This window comes from Homo sapiens, chromosome 8 (genome assembly GCF_000001405.40).
Source record: "Homo sapiens chromosome 8, GRCh38.p14 Primary Assembly".
NCBI classification, from domain to species: Eukaryota; Metazoa; Chordata; class Mammalia; order Primates; family Hominidae; genus Homo; species Homo sapiens.
The window spans coordinates 49383095-49401674 of record NC_000008.11 but is presented as its reverse complement, the minus strand read 5'-3'; positions in this window follow the sequence as shown (position 1 = coordinate 49401674).

Here is an 18580-nt window from a genome sequence, read left to right as displayed (position 1 = left end):
CTCCCCAGGGTCCTCATTATGTAAGCAGCAAAGCTTTCCATACCTCTTCGTGTGTGAGCGACTGTGGTGGTCTCACTATGCAGACAAGCTTTGCCGGGGAGTGGGGGGCGGTGCGTTACTTCCTGTTCCTCCATAGTGCTCTGGTGAGCTGGATTCCGAGGCTCTGTCCTCCAGCACCGGAGTCCGCTCTCGCTTTGGTTTGCTCACTCCTGCTGCCTGCCTGCGGTTACCATAACTGTCTTGGCGTCTGCTCCTGTGATGTCCCATTCTGTTGGTTTTTTTTTTTTTTTTTTTTTTTTGAGACAGTGTCGCTCTTTCGCCCAGGCTGGAGTGCAGTGGCGCGATCTCGGCTCACTGCAGGCTCCGCCTCCCGGGTTCACGCCATTCTCCTGCCTCAGCCTCCTGAGTAGCTGGGACTACAGGCGCCCGCCACCGCGCCCTGCTGATTTTTGTATTTTTTTAGTAGAGACGGGGTTTCACCGTGTTAGCCAGGATAGTCTCGATCTCCTGACCTCGTGATCCACCCGCCTCGGCCTCCCAAAGTGCTGGGATTACAGGCCTGAGCCACTGCGCCCGGCCTCATTCTGTTCCTTACAAGACGGACTTGTCTGTTATTGGTATTTGCATTTTTTACATGAATGTTAGAATCAAATTGCAAATGGTTAACTAAAAAAAAAAAAAAAAGAAAAACTTCCTAAGGTTGTATTGAACCTATAATTTGTGGAGAAATACAATATCGTTTGTAGATCTTTTTGGATTTTCTGTGTTCAGACAACACAATATGTTATCTTTAAAAAGTGACACTTCCTTTCTTTCATTACTTATGCTGTGAATTTATTGCTCTTGCCTTATGATAATTGCCCAGAATCTCTGTACATTTTGAATGGGCAGGAGATCCTTGTTTAGTCCCAGTATCAGGAAGAGATTACATGGGTCACAATTAAGTATTAAAACTTTTAAATATATTTTGATTTAATAAACATGTAGATTTTGATTGCCTGAAATAAATGAAAATAATGTTAATTTGGAATATTAACATCATTCTATGTAGATTATAGAAGTATATAGAAGCATATAATAATCAAATTTTAATTAAAATGTGTATTCAAATTGATGCTATAATACTTAAAGGTATGTGACTGTGTATTTTTATATAACTGTATACTTTGCACATACTTTCCCTAAGAACTCAGAATTATAGAAAACTATATTTTTACTTCCAAGCTGAACTTGAAGATGACTTGTCATTTAGAACTCAGCTAAAACATCTCATCTGTACAATTAAGACTTCCCACTGATTGCCACTCAATTATAGACATCTTAAATTGTGCTTTTCTTTTGCATGTTGACTTGATTATTGACTACACCCTTCAACCAAGAAGCAAGAATTCCCTGATAGAAGGAACCATGGCTGTTTTGTTCATAGCTGAAGGCCAAGGAGAGTTATAACCCTGTTCCTGAGACTTAGAACAGTATCTGGCCTATGGTAAGTACTCAGTTTTTATTTGTGAGCTGATGAAAATTGATGTAAATAATCCATCTGATTGGAAATACACAAAGTTAACTTCATGAGTGAAGGTGACTCTCAGGCTTTAAAAATTTACCTGTAACCTGATCAAATCACTAGCATATCTAGTCAAATTTTGTCAAAAGTCACTGGCCAATATATATAGCTCAGAAAATCTAAGTCGTAGAGGCAAATGTAGTTACATACTGTTCTATGATATTGTTGTATAAAAACTTAGCAATTCCCTGCAAAGGGCTGACACTGTTTTAGCCACAGGAATGGAGATAACAAGGAAGCAAATCAGACCCACTTCCTGTAAAGCACATCCTGCATCTAGCAGCTTTTCAGGTTCCTTACTCCTTTGCAAGGCTATTCATATTGTTATCTCTTTATGCTATGATTGAACATGCAAAATCTTTTATGAAATTTTTTTGGTAATTCTATGCAGACAAGTCCATTATCAGAGTGTGAATTGCCTATTAAAATAAATGTATTTACAATGTAAAAATAATCTGGTCTTATAGACCAGTGAAATCATGCTCCTATGACTATTTTGCATCTCATTTAAAATAAATAACTTGGGGCCCGGCAGGCTGGCTCATGCCTGTAGTCACAGCACTTTGGGAGGCCAAGGTAGGCGGGTCAGGGTCACTTGAGCCCAGGAGCTCAAGACCAGCTTGGGCAACATGGCAAAACCACATCTCTACAAAAAAAATACTAAAATTAGCCTGTCATCGTGGTCTATACCTGTAGTCCCAGCTGCTCAGGAGGCTGAGGTGGGAGGACCACCTGAGTCCCGGAAGGTTGAGGCTGCAGTGAGCTGTGATCACACCACTGCATCCTGTCCTAGGTATCAGAGTGAGATGCTGTCTCAAAAATAAATAAATAAATTTAATCAAATAACTCGGCATTCTGATATATGAGTGTTTATACAAAACTAATTCTGGTAGACTTTCAATAGTTTCCTTACCTTTCATTATAGTCACTGTCTAGGAAAAAAGAACCCTGTGTGAAACAAGGACAAAGTGGCTTCCAGTCATGTACCTGGGCCAGTGTCCCAGCCTTGGAGTTTCTAGCCACAAAGCAGAGATCACACCTAAAAATAGACTTAATCATTTTTCTTTGTCTAATTTATTTCTTTGGACGGCATTTTGGTTTGGGAGGTTTTTATGTAGAGTCTTCCACTTTGAATGTCTTAGCATTAGAAAAGCCACATGACTCAGGCATAGGTGGTTCTCCAGCTTGTTCCTGTGTGGGAGGCACCTTCCTCCAGCTGCCACTTAGAAGTGTAAACAGGAGCCAGTAACAGGAGAAACTGGTGTCTGGAATCTGAGCGAAAGTGGTCCGAAAGTCAAGGACTAGCCCGGCCAAGGAGAGACCACAGAGGCTTGGGACCATGTACCTGCATACTAAGGTAAAGGAATTCTCCATGACATTTCTTCAATATGATTAATATTTCTTACCAGGGTCATTTAGGATTTAATACTCAGTCTCGTGGCATTCTTTTTGGCAGTAGGTAATCCAAGTGGTGATAAAAAGCTCATACAAAGTCATAAGAGATACTGAATTCAGCAGCGTATCACTTCATTATTCATACATGTCATGCAGTGTTACAAATGATTCTGTATTTGGATTCTGTCAGGTTCCAATGGCTTTAGTATTAGAAATATATTTAAATAACTTAAGAAAATATATTATGTAACTTAAGAAACAAAGAATTACAAAATCTGATCAAATGTGACAGTGGTATAATATGTTGTGTGTTTGCAGGTAGCCATGAGAGACAAGAGTTCAGGGGCAAGTCAGGTCCACCCACATCCTAAGAAGCTTATGAAGGGCAACTTTAGTGAAGGCTTTAGTGTCACAGCCTGAGTGGTAAGAGTGTTTGTCCTGGAGCTCCAGCTCCAGATCCCAACTCAGCCAGAATCGCTGATTCATGAGCCCAATGAACCATGAAGCTAGCGGTCCACTGTGTCTCAGGAAGATTTAGAATATTAAATAGAATGTTCAAGAGACTGTAAGTCATGAGACTGTAATATCAAGTCTCATGTAATTACAGTCAAGAGATGGTAATATCCAGGCATTTAGAAATCTGTGAACATTTTGTATTTTATGTTCTTGAACATTTTAAGAAAAATTAGCCTACTAGAAAAAGAAATCAGACTTTAATAAATTTAGAATATAGACTTTTACTAAATATAAGGATATTAAATCATTAAATTGTAAGACTTGTGAAAAAACTAAGAAAATGTTATCAGGCAGAAAATTGGTATACTTAAAGATAAAATCAAGTACATTTTATAAATGTAGTTAAAATGATAACTGAACTTATAAATAAAGACCTCGATTAATGCAATGTTAAAAGTTGCTAGATTCATATTTGGAATAAGAGGATTTATAAGCTGAGCCTAAAAGCTTAAAGACGTGTGTTTTTAAAATTAAGACTTCAATAACTATAATATCCATTTTTACAAACCAAAGCAAACATCTAATTTGTCTTTGCTGTGTTGGAAACTGCACTGAGGACATGAAAAAGCTTAATTTTGATACATTTTTCTTACAGAGACACAATTAACAATGGTTGTCTTCTCATAGTGCTTGACTATGGGAAAATAATATTCTCATCAAGCTTAGCAGGTGCTTCGTTTCATATATCAAGGAAAGTGCTTATTGCTAATGTTAAATAATACATTAGCATTCTGGATATACATATTAGTTTAATTGCCTCCATTAATATTATTCGATAGATAGGGAAGTATCTACTCTTCTTTTCCTGAAACATCTTGACATTGGAGCCTGGAGTATTGAAGTCCACATTTAATTCTCTCAGCACTGTGAATGACATTGGCATAAGCTCAAGGGAAATAATATATCGGCCTTCATAGGACAGAAATATACGCCTTTATTATCCTCTGCTTACACATTTGGAAATTTTACAGTGTGAAGATGATGTTTATGGCACTTCCTATATGTATTTTAATTTAAACTTATGACTTTATTAAACAAAAACTTCTACTCTACTGGAGCAATACTGAAAAGCTGACTTACAACTCTGCCACAATGATCTTTGGGAATTCAAGGCGTCTAATTAACGTCCAAATATATGCTCAGTGTGTGTTTAGAGTTTAACAGTTCACTGTAGCAGTCACCACTTAAAAAAAAAAGAAAATCATTTTTCTCCTTGGGAAAATTAAAGAGGAGTAAGCAAAATTAGGGAACATAAAGAAAAAAAGCCATAAAACTGAGCTATAATAGAAAGTTGCCCTTCTTCACACAGAAAAGGAATAAAATATAAGGGCAGGAATCTTTTCAGGCAAGAATGGTGTTTTTCACCCCCTCTTTGTCAGCCTGTCATCCAGAGGTCAGCAGAATCTGAGGCCTTCAGATCCTGAGCCCCGAGAAGGCTCTCCCGCCAGCCTGTCTCCGCTCTCTGGCCTTTATTTGCTTTCCCCTCAAGCTGCTCTACCATGCAGGCCAGCCTCTGAAGTGAAGCCTTCTTTGTCATTTATACTTTGTGGTCATGTACCAGTCTATTTTTGTTCATGTAATAAATTTGGCAATGCACTGATAATGTCAGACAACAAATACATTTTAAGTGGTGCTCTATAATTGATAAATAATGCATACATAATAATTTTGTATGTAACGGTAATAGTCTGTCTTTTTCACTAAGCTAATGGAAGGATGCAGGGGATGGTGCTATATACATGTATCCTATTTATAGTAAGAGCAGCAATGTACACTTCCATAGAAAATAAAAAGGGTTTTTGTAACATGCTTTGAATTGCTCAATAAATATATCAAAGTTAGTAGGTGTTATTATAAATACTATCAATATGAAATGATTAATGTCCTGATTAACTTTACGAGTAATTGTATATTATATACTTTGTAAATGCCAATAAATTATGTTGATTGCATAGGGAATCATTTATTTGATATTTCAATGAACACTGTCTATCAGAACAAAGTGGTTTCCCCTGAATGTCACTGGTGTGTGTCTCCAGTAGCTATCAGAAGTATATCATTGCTGATGTCCAGCTGTCGTGCCAGCATAATTAAAACACTTTTGCAGCATCTGACTGTGGTCCGGGCTGCCCTTTCACAGATCTTACCAGAGGGTGGGGAGAGGGAAGCACAGGGAATCAGGAGAGTGGCAAAAACTGAAGCAGTGCGGCCTGCTTCTGATTATTACTGCATTTTTTAAAATATACTACATATGAGAAAAATAAATAGCTGCTACACCAGGAACACATTCTCTGTTTTTATAAAGGTCTTCCAACGGGGGTGATTTTTCCCCCACTGTGCATAATATTGCAGCCATGGCCCTTCCTGGCCTTTGTGCCTGATCAAATTGTATTTTTCTTTAATGAATAGAAAATATCTATCCTGTGAAAATGCTTATTATCAGGAATTGCAGAAATTGTTGCAGGGAATCAATGTACTTTTTTTCTCACAGGTTTCTGAGGCCCTACTATGTGTACAGCACAGTGGTGGACTCTTGAGGGACACGAAGATGACTAAGACACAGTCGCAGCCTTTCAGCAGCTTCTAATCCATTAGGGGATATGAGGCAAGTGTACCGCGACCACCACACCAGGACTCAGGTGCAGATTGCACACCTGAAGGGAAGTGAGGTTGGAGCTGCAAGAGGTGTCACTGTCGGTGAGCAAAGCTAGAAGAGTTTGCCACTTGACAGAAAGAGAATTTTAGGTGGGTCTTCCAGGACATGGTGGATTTTGAACCATGGGTATTAGGAAGGGGGCTCGTCTGGTGACGGAGTTTTTACAGTAAAGCCAGGAAGTCACACCCCTGGAGCTCTCCTTCGGTAACAGCTAGTTTCCAATTTGCCTATCATGCATGCTCTGTAATGGAGGGCATGGGAAGATCATGCAGTTTGAAAGCCCCAAATACAAGAATGTGAAAATATAATATATTTGATAGAAAACTTTTGTGCAGGGTGTGGCCCCTGAAGATGTTTCAGTAGGAAAGCTCCATAATTTAAGGCTTGTTCAGGAAAATTGAAGCTGAGGACTCAGCACAGTGTTGGAGGACTCTGGAGTTTTGAAAGCCAGGTAGAGGGCCACTTAATCAAAGCTATGAGCACGATTAAGTACAATTAGCATTCTGTTTTCTGGGCAGTTGTCTGGTTATTCACCTGCCTAGCTCATGTTTTAAAATTCTATCATTTGAATTTGTGATTCTTCAGCAAATGGAACAAGATGGTATTTGAACCTTTGGACTTGAGAATATGGCTCAGTGGCTGCAATCCTTGTAAATAGGCTTATGCTCTTATATATGATGCGTCACTTGTCCTTGCACTTGATATTCATTGGGATTAATTTTAACAAGAGCTGAGGTATTATCACCATATCAATAGTAAGACATTTTAAGTCAAATTGAGCAGACATGATAATGAAGCCTGCAGAGCCAGTAAACTTGTTCTTTTGTTCTTTTGTTCTGTTTTGTGTCACTTTCCTGATAATATTTCAGTTATATTCGATTCTAATTCTCACTTAATCAGTAATTTAGCTGGTTACTCAGACAAAAATGAAATTCTCCTAAAGCTTCTGAGCAATTTCTGATACTCCAATTATAAATTTTTGCTTCAAGAGGAAATCAAAACTTCATATTTGGTATGATAATAATTTTCTAAAATTGAGGATACTAGTTGTTTGTTAAGTAGACTTTACAAATCTGATTAGAATAACAATATCTGTACTGAGAAAATATAGAGGAAAACATGTTTTCACTTTATATTCTTTTACTCCATTTTCTCACAGATAAATTACAATGAAAGCTAAAAGAACACAGATTCAAGTCTGAGATACTAGCTTCTGTGATCTAGTAAGAATATACCTATTAGTCTGATTATTTTTAATAATCCAGTGTGTTTTGGATGACAACAAAGGCAGGCACTGTTACAACCCAAGCAAGTGCTTGTGAAGAACAACGTGTGTGTTGCTGCCAGGTTAGGCCAGTGCTCACAACCAAAAGGGTGACGTGACATAACATGAAGTATATAATGAAGCATACATTTGCTGTACATTTCTAGCAAATTACCATGTATTTCCACGTGACATTCACAAGCCTGGATCTAATAATTTCTTCCGCTAAGGGTAGCAATGATGTAGTGAAGAGACTTTGAATTAGAAGCAGATGATCAATGTTCAAGTTAACCTTAATGAATGGTGGTACACATAGCATTGGTGTCACCAGATCCACACATCTTAACCTAACATAAGTGACCCACTCTTTGATACAGTCAGATAAGTGAGGGGGAAAAAGAAAATCCTTACCTAAGTGTCAAACATCAGTTAATCAAATCCTAGAACTACTGTGTACAAAGCACAGAATATGAGCAATTGCCTAGTTTGGCAACAAAATATAAAATAATGCTGATAAAATACCCAACTCATAATCCTACTGTGAATGCTAAATTAAATTACATTGATGACACATAGAAAGATACTTACATAGGCCTAGGACACGATAAGTACTCAAAAACACTTTTTCCCCCAAACAAAATATTCTGATGAAGTAGCCAATATTAGAGTCGTTAGATTTCAGAAGATTTTGTTGTCAATATTTGTGTAATACCATGAGAGCATTAAAGGTTGAGAGGCCATTCCAGTTGAAGACTCAAATGTTTAATTTTTTTTTTTTTCTGAGATGGAGACTCACACCTTTGCCCAGGCTGGAGTGCAGTGGCGGGATCTCAGCTCACTTCAAGCTTCACCTCCCGGGTTCACACCATTCTCCTGCCTCAGCCTCCCGAATAGCTGGGACTACAGGTGCCCGCCACCACGCCCAGCTAATTTTTTGTATTTTTAGTAGAGACAGGGTTTCACCTGTTAGCCAGGATTGTCTCAATCTCCTGACCTCGTGATCTGCCCGCCTCAGCCTCCCAAAGTGCTGGGATTACAGGCATGAGCCACCATGACCGGCCATATTTATTTTTAAAATAAAAAAAATTAACAATAGTATACTGATATGGTTTGGCTCTGTCTCCCCACCCAAATCTCATCTTGAATTGTACTCGCATAATTGCCACATGTTGTCAGAGGGACCTGGTGGGAGATAATTTGAATCACAGGGGTGGTTTCCCCCATACTGTGATCGTGGTAGTAAGTCTCATCACATCTGATGTGTTTATCAAGGGTTTCTGCTTTTTCATCTTCCTCATTTTTTTCTTTTTTTCTTTTTTTTTTTTTTTTTGAGATGGAGTCTCACTCTGTCACCCAGGCTGGAGTGCAGTGGCACGATCTCAGCTCACTGCAAGCTCCACCTCCTGGGTTCACGCCATTCTCCTCCCTTACCTCCTGAGTAGCTGGGACTACAGGTGCCTGCCACCACGCCCGGCTAATTTTTTGTATTTTTAGTAGAGACAGGGTTTCACTGTGTTTGCCAGGATGATCTCAATCTCCTGACCTTGTGATCTGCCTGCCTCAGCCTCCCAAAGTGCTGGGATTACAGGCATGAGCCACCGCACCCGGCCATCTTCCTCATTTTTTCTTGCCACCACCATGTAAGAAGTGGCTTTTGCCTCCTGCTATGATTCTGGGGCCTCCCTAGCCATGTGGAACTGTAAGTCCAATTAAACCTCTTTTTCTTCCCAGTCTTGGGTATGTCTTTATCAGTAGCATGAAAACAGACTAATACATATACTTACTGTTAAAATTGCCTTTGAGATGGAAGGGACAGGGATCTCATAGTTTTACACTATTATAATTCCAAGTATGTGTAATACTGATTACCATAGATTACACAAAAGCACAGTGTGGAATTATTTCACTGTAATTATGATCATTGTAGTCGTTATTGTACTTGTCATCTAGTTCAAAGAATCTTTAGGAATGCACCTAAAAATGGGAAATGTTGGATGTGACCTGGTCGGGAACACACTGACTTAGGACTTGAAAACAAGAACTCCACCCTATCTGTTTGCAGGCAGCCACTGAGAGGACAATAAGGACACTGACACACCTAAGTATTAGGTCTTATGTATTTCAAGCTAAGGGGACAGAATGTAAATTAAACAATGGGAAAACATATCATTGGTTATCACAATACCTAGTCCTGTGTCTATTTTGTTGGAAACCATTTTTTTTTTTTTTTTTGAGACGGAGTCTCGCTCTGTCGCCCAGGCTGGACTGCGGACTGCAGTGGCGCAATCTCGGCTCACTGCAAGCTCCGCTTCCCGGGTTCACGCCATTCTCCTGCCTCAGCCTCCCGAGTAGCTGGGACTACAGGTGCCCGCCACCGCGCCTGGCTAATTTTTTTGTATTTTTAGTGGAGACGGGGTTTCACCTTGTTAGCCAGGATGGTCTCGATCTCCTGACCTCATGATCCACCCGCCTCGGCCTCCCAAAGTGCTGGGATTACAGGCGTGAGCCACCGTGCCCGGCCAGAAACCATTTTTTTTAATAAGGGAAGATAGGTCACAGATGAATACATCTGAGGAAATCAAAACTCTGCCTGAAAATATTATGAACTTATTATATTATTACAAAAACCATAATAATCTTTGGAACAACCACAAGGATAAAAACTAAAGTGTAAACTTTGAAAACAGAGAAAAACATCTCTGTATTGGATGTTTGGAACATCAATTGTATTCAGTGACAATTTTTAATATCTACCAAATACTTGGAGGAGTACATGGAATAAAGTAGGTGTGAACTAGATATTAGTTGAATGCAAGAATGCAAGGACAAGTATGCTAAAGGGCATTTTGGGAAGCCTTTATATAGATAGCACTTTTGTGAGTCCACAGCCTTTTTTTTCAGTCAGATCTTGCCAAGACCAGCTCAGTCGAGGAGACCCTAACCCAGCGGTGCTAGAGGAATTAAAGACACACACACAGAAATATAGAGGTGTGAAGTGGGAAATCAGGGGTCTCACAGCCTTCAGAGCTGAAAGCCCAAAACAGAGATTTACCCACATATTTATGAATAGCAAACCAGTCATTAGCATTGTTTCTATAGATATTAAATTAACTAAAAGTATTCCTTATGGGAAACGAAGGGATGGGCCAAATTAAAGGAATAGGTTGGGCTAGTTAACTGCAGCAGGAAAGCATCCTTAACACACAGATCACTCATGCTATTGTTTGTGGCTTAAGAATGCCTTTAAGCGGTTTTCCGCCCTGGGTGGGCCAGGTGTTCCTTGCCCTATTCCCGTAAACCCACAACCTTCCAGCTTGGGCATTATGGCCATTATGAACATGTTACAGTGCTGCAGAGATTTTGTTTATGGCCAGTTTTGGGGCCAGTTTATGGCCAGATTTTGGGGGCTTGCTCCCAACAGATCTTTCATGGTGATGTATTTTAGGAGCGTGAGAAAAAAAAAAAACTTGTGTATATAAAACAGCTTTTAGTCCCCATATGTAATGGAGTTAACAACTACATTCATTGTCCAAAGTCTAAATAGTTATTTTAAATATTTTGTGGTTTGAGACTTTTAAAAAAATGTAAGGCTCAATCTAAAAAAAAAAAATAACTTTTAGATTCCTGCAAATATGAAAGGCTCTTTTCCTTCTTAGATGGTAAATTATACAATTCTCATTCCATTTTTACCTTTACCTATGCTGCCAATTTAGAAAATTGAAAAGACACAAGTATTGGAATCAGCCAGATCTGGAAACCAGTGAACACTCTGCCTTTCTCTATTTGAGTATTGTTGAACAAGTAGCTTTCTCTCTCTTGCTTACAGTTTCATCTTGTATAAAGTGTATACTTGTATAAAGTGTATACAGTTTCATCTTGTATAAAGAGTGTGAGAACACTCACACTTACTTCAAAGGGTTCCCATGAAGAATAAAACTTGCACTCCAGAAACTAGCAGCTCCTAATTTTGATTCACAGAGAAGCTTTCTGTTCTTTTTCTTTTTTCTTTTGTTTTTTTCTTTTTTTTTCTTTCTTTCTTTTTTTTTTTTTTTAGAGACAGGGTCTCACTCTGTCACCCAGGCTACTGGAATGCAGTGGCAGTGAGATTATAGCTTACTGCAGCAGTGCCCTCCTGGGCCCAAGTGATCCTCCTGCCTCAGCCTCATGAATAGCTGTGACTAGAGGTGTGCCACCACACCTGGGTAATTTTTAAAATTTTTCTGTAGAGATGGGGGTCTTTCTTTGTTGCCCAGGCTGGTCTTCAACTCCTGGCTTCAAGTTAACCTCCCACCTCAGTCTCCCAGAGTGCTAGAATTACAGGTATGACCCACTGCACCTGGCCCAGAGGTAAGCATTTTTGCACAAACCTCTGTAGGATTGTGGTAAAGTATAGAAATGCTAGCCACAAACATTGTGAAAACCTTGGATCTATGCATACAGGCATGTGAACTCAAGTCTAGGTTGGGCTATTGAAAATAATAGAATTGGTTCAAATAGAGAGCTGTAAAACAGTACAGCAGCCAAAGAGAATTTCTCCTGAGGAATATGAATCAGCTGTAGAGACAGGCTAAAGGAAGCTAGTCTCTTACCAAGAGGTAATAGAAAGACAAAGTGGCCAGTGTTTATCCTAGAAATGACAACAAACTGGATGACTTATAGAGTGCTCATGAATGTCTACATTTTTCCTAAGAAGGAAAACATAGTTATCAGCATGAGATTATCAGGAGTATCATAAAGTCAGGAAGGCAGGACTTGGATGGAATCACATTCATTTTCTATTGCTGGATAACAAATGGCCACAAACTTAGCCCCTTAAAAGAACATGCATTTACCCTCTCACAGCTCCTGTGGGTGAGGGGTCTGGGGTGGGAGCTCTGCTCAGGGCCTCACAAGGTTGAAATCAACATGTCAGGTGGCTGTGTTCTCATCTGAAGCCTCAACTAGGGAACAGTTCACTTCCAAGATCCCTCGGGTTGCTGGCAGAATTGATGTCCTTGTGTGTGTAGGTTGGAGGTCCCAGGGTCTTGTTAGCTATTGGGCAGGGACTTCCATCAGGACCAGATGCCGCTCTGTCATTCCCTCACACACCATGTCTCTGGCTCTAGGGAGGGCTCAATATCTCAGAAGAACTCACCTGATTGGGTCAGCCTCACCTGGATAATGTCCCTTTTGACTACCTCAAAGTCACTAATTAGTGATTGTATTAGTCTGTTCTCATGCCCCTATGAAGAAATACCTGAAGCTGGGTAATTTATAAAGGAAAGAGGTTTAATTGACTCCCCATGGCTGGGGAGGCCTCAGGAAACGTACAGTCATGGTGGAAGGGGAAGCAAACATGTCCTTCTTCACATGGTAGCAGGAGAGAGAAGTGCTGAGCAAAGGGATAATGCCCCCTATAAAACCAGATCTCATCAGAACTCACTATCACAAGAACAGCATGGGGGTAACTGCCCTTATGATTCAATCACCTCCCACCTGGTCCCTCCCACAACAAGTGGAGATTATGGGAACCACATTTCAAGAAGAGACTTGGATGGGAACACAGCCAAACTATATTATTCTGCCCCTGGCCCTTCCCAAATTCTATGTCCTCACATTTCAAAACATGCCTCCTTAACAGTCCCTCAAGGTCTTAACTCACTCCAGCATTAACTCAGAAGTCCAAGTCCAAAGTCTCATCTGAGACAAGGCAAGTCCCTTCCTCCTATGAGCTGGTAAAATCAAGCACAAGTTAGTTCCTTCCAACATACAATGGGGGTACAGACCTTGGGTAAATACACCCATTTCAAGTGGGAGAAATTGGCCAAAGCAAAGGTGCTGCCCCATGAAGTTTTAAATCCAATAGGGTAGTCATTAAACCTTAAAGTTCCAAAATGATCTCCGTAACTCCTTGTCTTACAGCCAGGTGACACTGATGCAAGTGGTGGGTTCTCACAGCCTTGGGCAGCTCCACCCCTGTGGCTTTGCAGGATACAGACCTCTGCTGGCTGCTTTCAGAGGCTGGCATTGAGTGCCTGTGGCATTTCCAGGTGCACAGTGCAAGCTGTCATTGTATCTACCATTCTGGGGTCCAGAGGACAGTGGCTGTCTTCTCACAGCTCCACTAGGCAGTGCCCCAGTGGGGACTCTGTGGGCGGGGGTGGTGGGGCTGCCACCCACGTTTTCCTTCTGCACTGCCCTAGCAGAGGTTCTACATGAGAGCTCTGCCCCTGCAGCACACCTCTGCCTGGAAATCCAGGCGTTTCCATACATCGTCTAAAATGGAGGCGGAGGTTCCCAAACCTCACTTCTTGTCTTCTGCACAGCTGCAGGACCAGCACCACATGGAAGCTGCCAAGGCTGGGGTCTTGTACCCTCTGAAGCAATGGCCCAAGCTGTACCTTGGCCCCTTTTAGCCACAGCTGGAGCTGAAGCACCTGGGACTCAGGGAACCATGTCCCAAGGCTGCATAGAGCAGGGTGGCCCTGGGCCAGGCCCAGGAAACCATATTTCCCTCCTAGACCTCCAGGGCTGTGATAGGAGATGCTGCTGTGCAGGTCTCTTGACATGCCCTGGAAGCATTTTCTTCATTGTTTTGATGATTAACATTTGGCTCCTTGTTACTTATGCAAATTTCTGCAGTGGGCTTGAATTTCTCCTCAGAAAATGGGTTTTTCTTTTCTATTGCATTGTCAGGCTGCAAATTTTCCAAACTTTTATGCCCTGCTTCCTCTTCAAGGCTTTGATGCTTAGAAATTTCTTCCACCAGATACCATATATCACCTCTCTTAAGTTCAAAGTTCCACAGATCTCTAGGGCAGGGGCAAAATGTCACCAGTCTCTTTGCTAAAGCATAGCAAGAGTGACATTTACTCCAGTTCCCAACAAGTTTCTCATCTCCATCTGAGACCACCTCAGCCTGGACTTCATTGTCCATATCACTATCAGCATTTTGGTCAAAGCCATTCAACAAGTCTCTAGGAAGTTCCAAACTTTCCCACATCTTCCTGTCTTCTGAGCCCTCCAAGTCTCTAGAAAGTTCCAAACTTTCCTACCTTTTCCTGTCTTCTTCTGAGCCCTCCAAACTGTTTCAATCTCTGCCTGTTACCCAGTTCCAAAGTTACTTCCACATGTTCGGGTATCTTTATAGCAGTACCCCACTCTCTGAAGTACCAATTCACTGTATTAGTCTATTCTCATGCTGCTATGAAGAAATATCCTAGACTGGATAATTTATAACATAAAGAAGTTTAATTGACTCACAGTTCTGCATGGCTGGGGAAGTCTCAGGAAACATACAATCATGGTGGAAGGAGAATCAAACTAGTCTTTCTTCACATAGCAGCAGGAGAGAGAAGTGTCAAGCAAAAGGGGAAAAGCCCCTTATAAAACTATCAGATCTCATGAGAACTCATTCACTATCCCAAAAACAGCATAGAGGTAACAACCCCTATGATTCAATTACCTCCCAAAAGGTCCCCCCAGGACACAGTGTGAATTATGGGAACTACAATTCAAGGTGAGCTTTGGGAGGTGACACAGCCAAACCATATCAGTGATATAACCATGACAGTGACTTCCTATCATCTTCACAGTCCTGCTCACACTGGAGGGGAAGGAATGATACAGGGAGTGCACACAACAGGCAGGAATCTCAGGGACAATCCTGGAATTCTGCCTACCACAGGAAGAGAAGAAATAAATGTCTTCCCCAAAATAGGAAGTTCCAAGCATGGACAATTCTTCCTTCATATCTTCATGCATGAATTGTATACTCAAGCACATAAGGACAAATAAGGATGCCTGGAAGAATATAACAACTAAAAGAAAAAATACATATGCTACATTGTTTAGTTAAATCTGTATTTAAACCATGGCATCATGTCAGATGAAATACATCTTCTCTCCCACCTCAAATGGGGACTATTTCTGATGCTTAATAACCCTCATTCAGAGCAATGTAGGTTGATGTAATACTTCCTATTGAGTCCTTCTTAAAAACATTATGTGCATATTTTACCTTCAGTTCTATCCATAATTTTCACATGGGCATTTAATCAAGAGTAGTTTTATGTGAGTGAATTTCATCAGATGCTATTTTTGTATTTTCATTTAAAATTATGATAACAGCATAATAGAAATTGAAATTAAATCAAGGGTTGTAGGACTTGCTTCCCAAGAGCTGTTTCTGCAAGGGCAGCTGTAATCATTTGATAGTGCTGGTTACTAGATGACACAGCAACCTCAGAATTGTGCCATGGTATATAAAATTGAATTTGATTTGTAAACCTTAATTAAAATGATAAAATGGTTCATTTTTGTTCTTATTTAAAAGTACTCCATGCCTCAGAGAGAATGAGCCATCCAAGCTTTCAGAGGCAGTGTAGGAGGCGGGGAGGAGGGGGCTCCAGAATCTGACTCACCCGTGTGCTACCTGCCATTCTATCCTTTGTTAGGTGTGAGACTCTCAGCCTCCTTTTCCTCATGAATTAACCAGGCATCCTAGAGTATTCATCCATGGCTTTTTTATGCAAAAAAAAGTTTATAAAACAGCAAAAATCCACTAAATGTCAACTGTTACTATTGCTATTACTGTTAAAAAAATTAAATAAAGTCAATTTTAGATACTTTAAATAAATTGACTTTTAATACTGCTTTAATTAAAAATATTTGTCCATTTTGTACTATGCATTACTATACCTAATCTGATTACTTTATTCCTTGTTACATTTCTGTCTGACCTTCACCCATTACCCTAACCTGTTATTTAAAAACAAATAAATGACACATAAACAAACAAAATACTTTTTTTAGCATTTGCTGCTTTAGTCAGTTACTCCTGGGATGAATAAATTATATTTGATGTTTTTAAAAAACATCTTCAGGTCTTGCCAACTTGAAATCACAATTTACTCTTTGGTTATATCTCTTTGTTAGAAATTTCCTTTCAAAATGGGGAAAATTTTTTTCTTTAATAACTCATATGTTACATTCCATTGAATGAAACCAGCTGTCAAATTCAAAAGAGTAGATTCTCTATTTCATTTTGAATAGTAATAAATAAAACAGATTAGGACAAGTAAATGTGTGCATATGTAACTTCACAGAGACTTATAGTCGTTCACAAGTTGATGTTACTATTGTATATAATGTTTAGAACTATATCGTATGGTTTTGTTTTATTTGTGTTTTGAGTGTTGCAAAGCTAGAGATAAATTTTTAGCAAATGATTCAAGTTTTTTGTATATTCACATTTCTCTGCACTAACTTTACACCAGATTTCATATCAATACCCAACATCGAATTTTTCTATAATAATTTATTTATGTCCTTTTATTTTTATCTTATGTTTTATTATGCATTTCTGAATGGTCTGTCAAATCACTTTGATGAATAAGTTACTTGAACATCATCATCCATTCATAAATGTAAGCAAGCAGCAACACTAGCAAATAAAAACATGGCCAAAACAAAGCTCCTGTTTATTTTTATTTGTGTCACAATACAGATAATAATTTAGATTTTCAAATGACTGGAAACAAATTTGGAGTGAAAAGATGCTGCTTTGTACTACTTAGAACTCTCTTGGATGCAAATGTAAATATCAAAACCTAAATTTATGATTAAAAAAATGGACCACATTTCTAATGCCCCATAACGTGGAACATTTCAGGGGTGGCCTGGATTCAATCAAACTTATCCCGGTGTCTCAGAAATGTTGGACAGGTATGAGGCAGGGGTGTGAGGAAGAGAGATATATGCTGATTGCCTCTTGGCTGTATTCAGTAAATGACGCAGAACTCTCATTTGGTAGAGAAAGTGAGTATTGAGGGTCCACATTCACACGCTAGAAGTCCACTTTATTGAAAAGAGGTTATTTCTCTTTAAACACTCAGATCCAGTCAGAAAAAGACTCCCATCACACTGTATTACTGCCCATCCCTGGAATACCAGCCACTTTAGTGAGGCAGGAGTAATTTGGATCACATGTGGAGGGTAAGAGGTTATGCGGGGGTGGGAACGTGGACAATGTGTTGGGCCACCTTCTGCAGGGACTGGGCACAAGCAGTGACCCAAAGGAAACAGGAGCAGATTAAAAAGGGTGGAGGGAGCGACCCCATCCAGGAAAGCATTTTACAGTTAAAGTACAAAGTTTAAGCTATCCTAGAAGATGAGTAAAGGACACATGGAAGAACTACCTGAGTAAATTACGAGGTTTTAATGAGACAACTATAAGGGTACATAGGCCTATCCACATAAATACACACATGGGCCTTCAAGCATATTATTTCTTATTTGTTTATCCTTAATTTATCTTTGTCCAATTACAAAATCTAGTGTTAATGTTTTCCCAAAACCTGCTGTCTGTGCATTCCTGTCTTCCAACTGTTTATCTTCATAGTGAATTGCTGGAGGAAAAGGATGGATGAACACAGAACTTACTGCTGACCTCCGATGTTTCTGGTCTAATTTATTCTTTCCAATGTAAGTTTTGTTTCATAAGGTGATATTCATTCTTCTAAAATGTGACCCTTTCCACCTTCCCATTTTATCTCCTCTTTAATCTCTCTGTTAATCTTATATTCTAGCCACATTGGGCTACTCAACATTTGCGGAACTCACCATGCGTTTTCAAACTCTTCTCCCTTTCTGGAATGCCTTTCCTCTTCCTCCTTCCACAGTTCTACCCATGGATCAATGCTTATCTTACATGCCACGTCTCTGAAGCCTTCTGTTATCTCTCTTTTTATCACTGCTATATGCCTCTGTTGTGACAAATATGACCCTTTCCCCCTACTTACAATACTCATGCCAAGAAGTATCTGATTTAATCATGATTTAGTATAAGTATTATTTTATCTCCCTCATTATATTCTCAAGTCCTTGAGACTGTACTTATGATTATCACATTTTAATCAACCACATTGCCTGGCACAAGGCTTTTCACATAGTAGGCAGACAAAAACGAGTTACCCAAACTTTGGTGAACACTCCTTTGGTTTTTGTTTGCTTAAGAATTCAGATTTAATATTGTTAAATAAGGGCACCTTGAATAAAACGTGTGAGATGTACTGACTTTGAAATATTTAAATATCCCCTTCCTTTGCTAATGTTTCATTTAAATGATAGAATTGACAAATTATTCACTGATCTGACTATTGTAAATTCCATTCATCTAAAATTCAGAAGTATGAAATTAGGATAA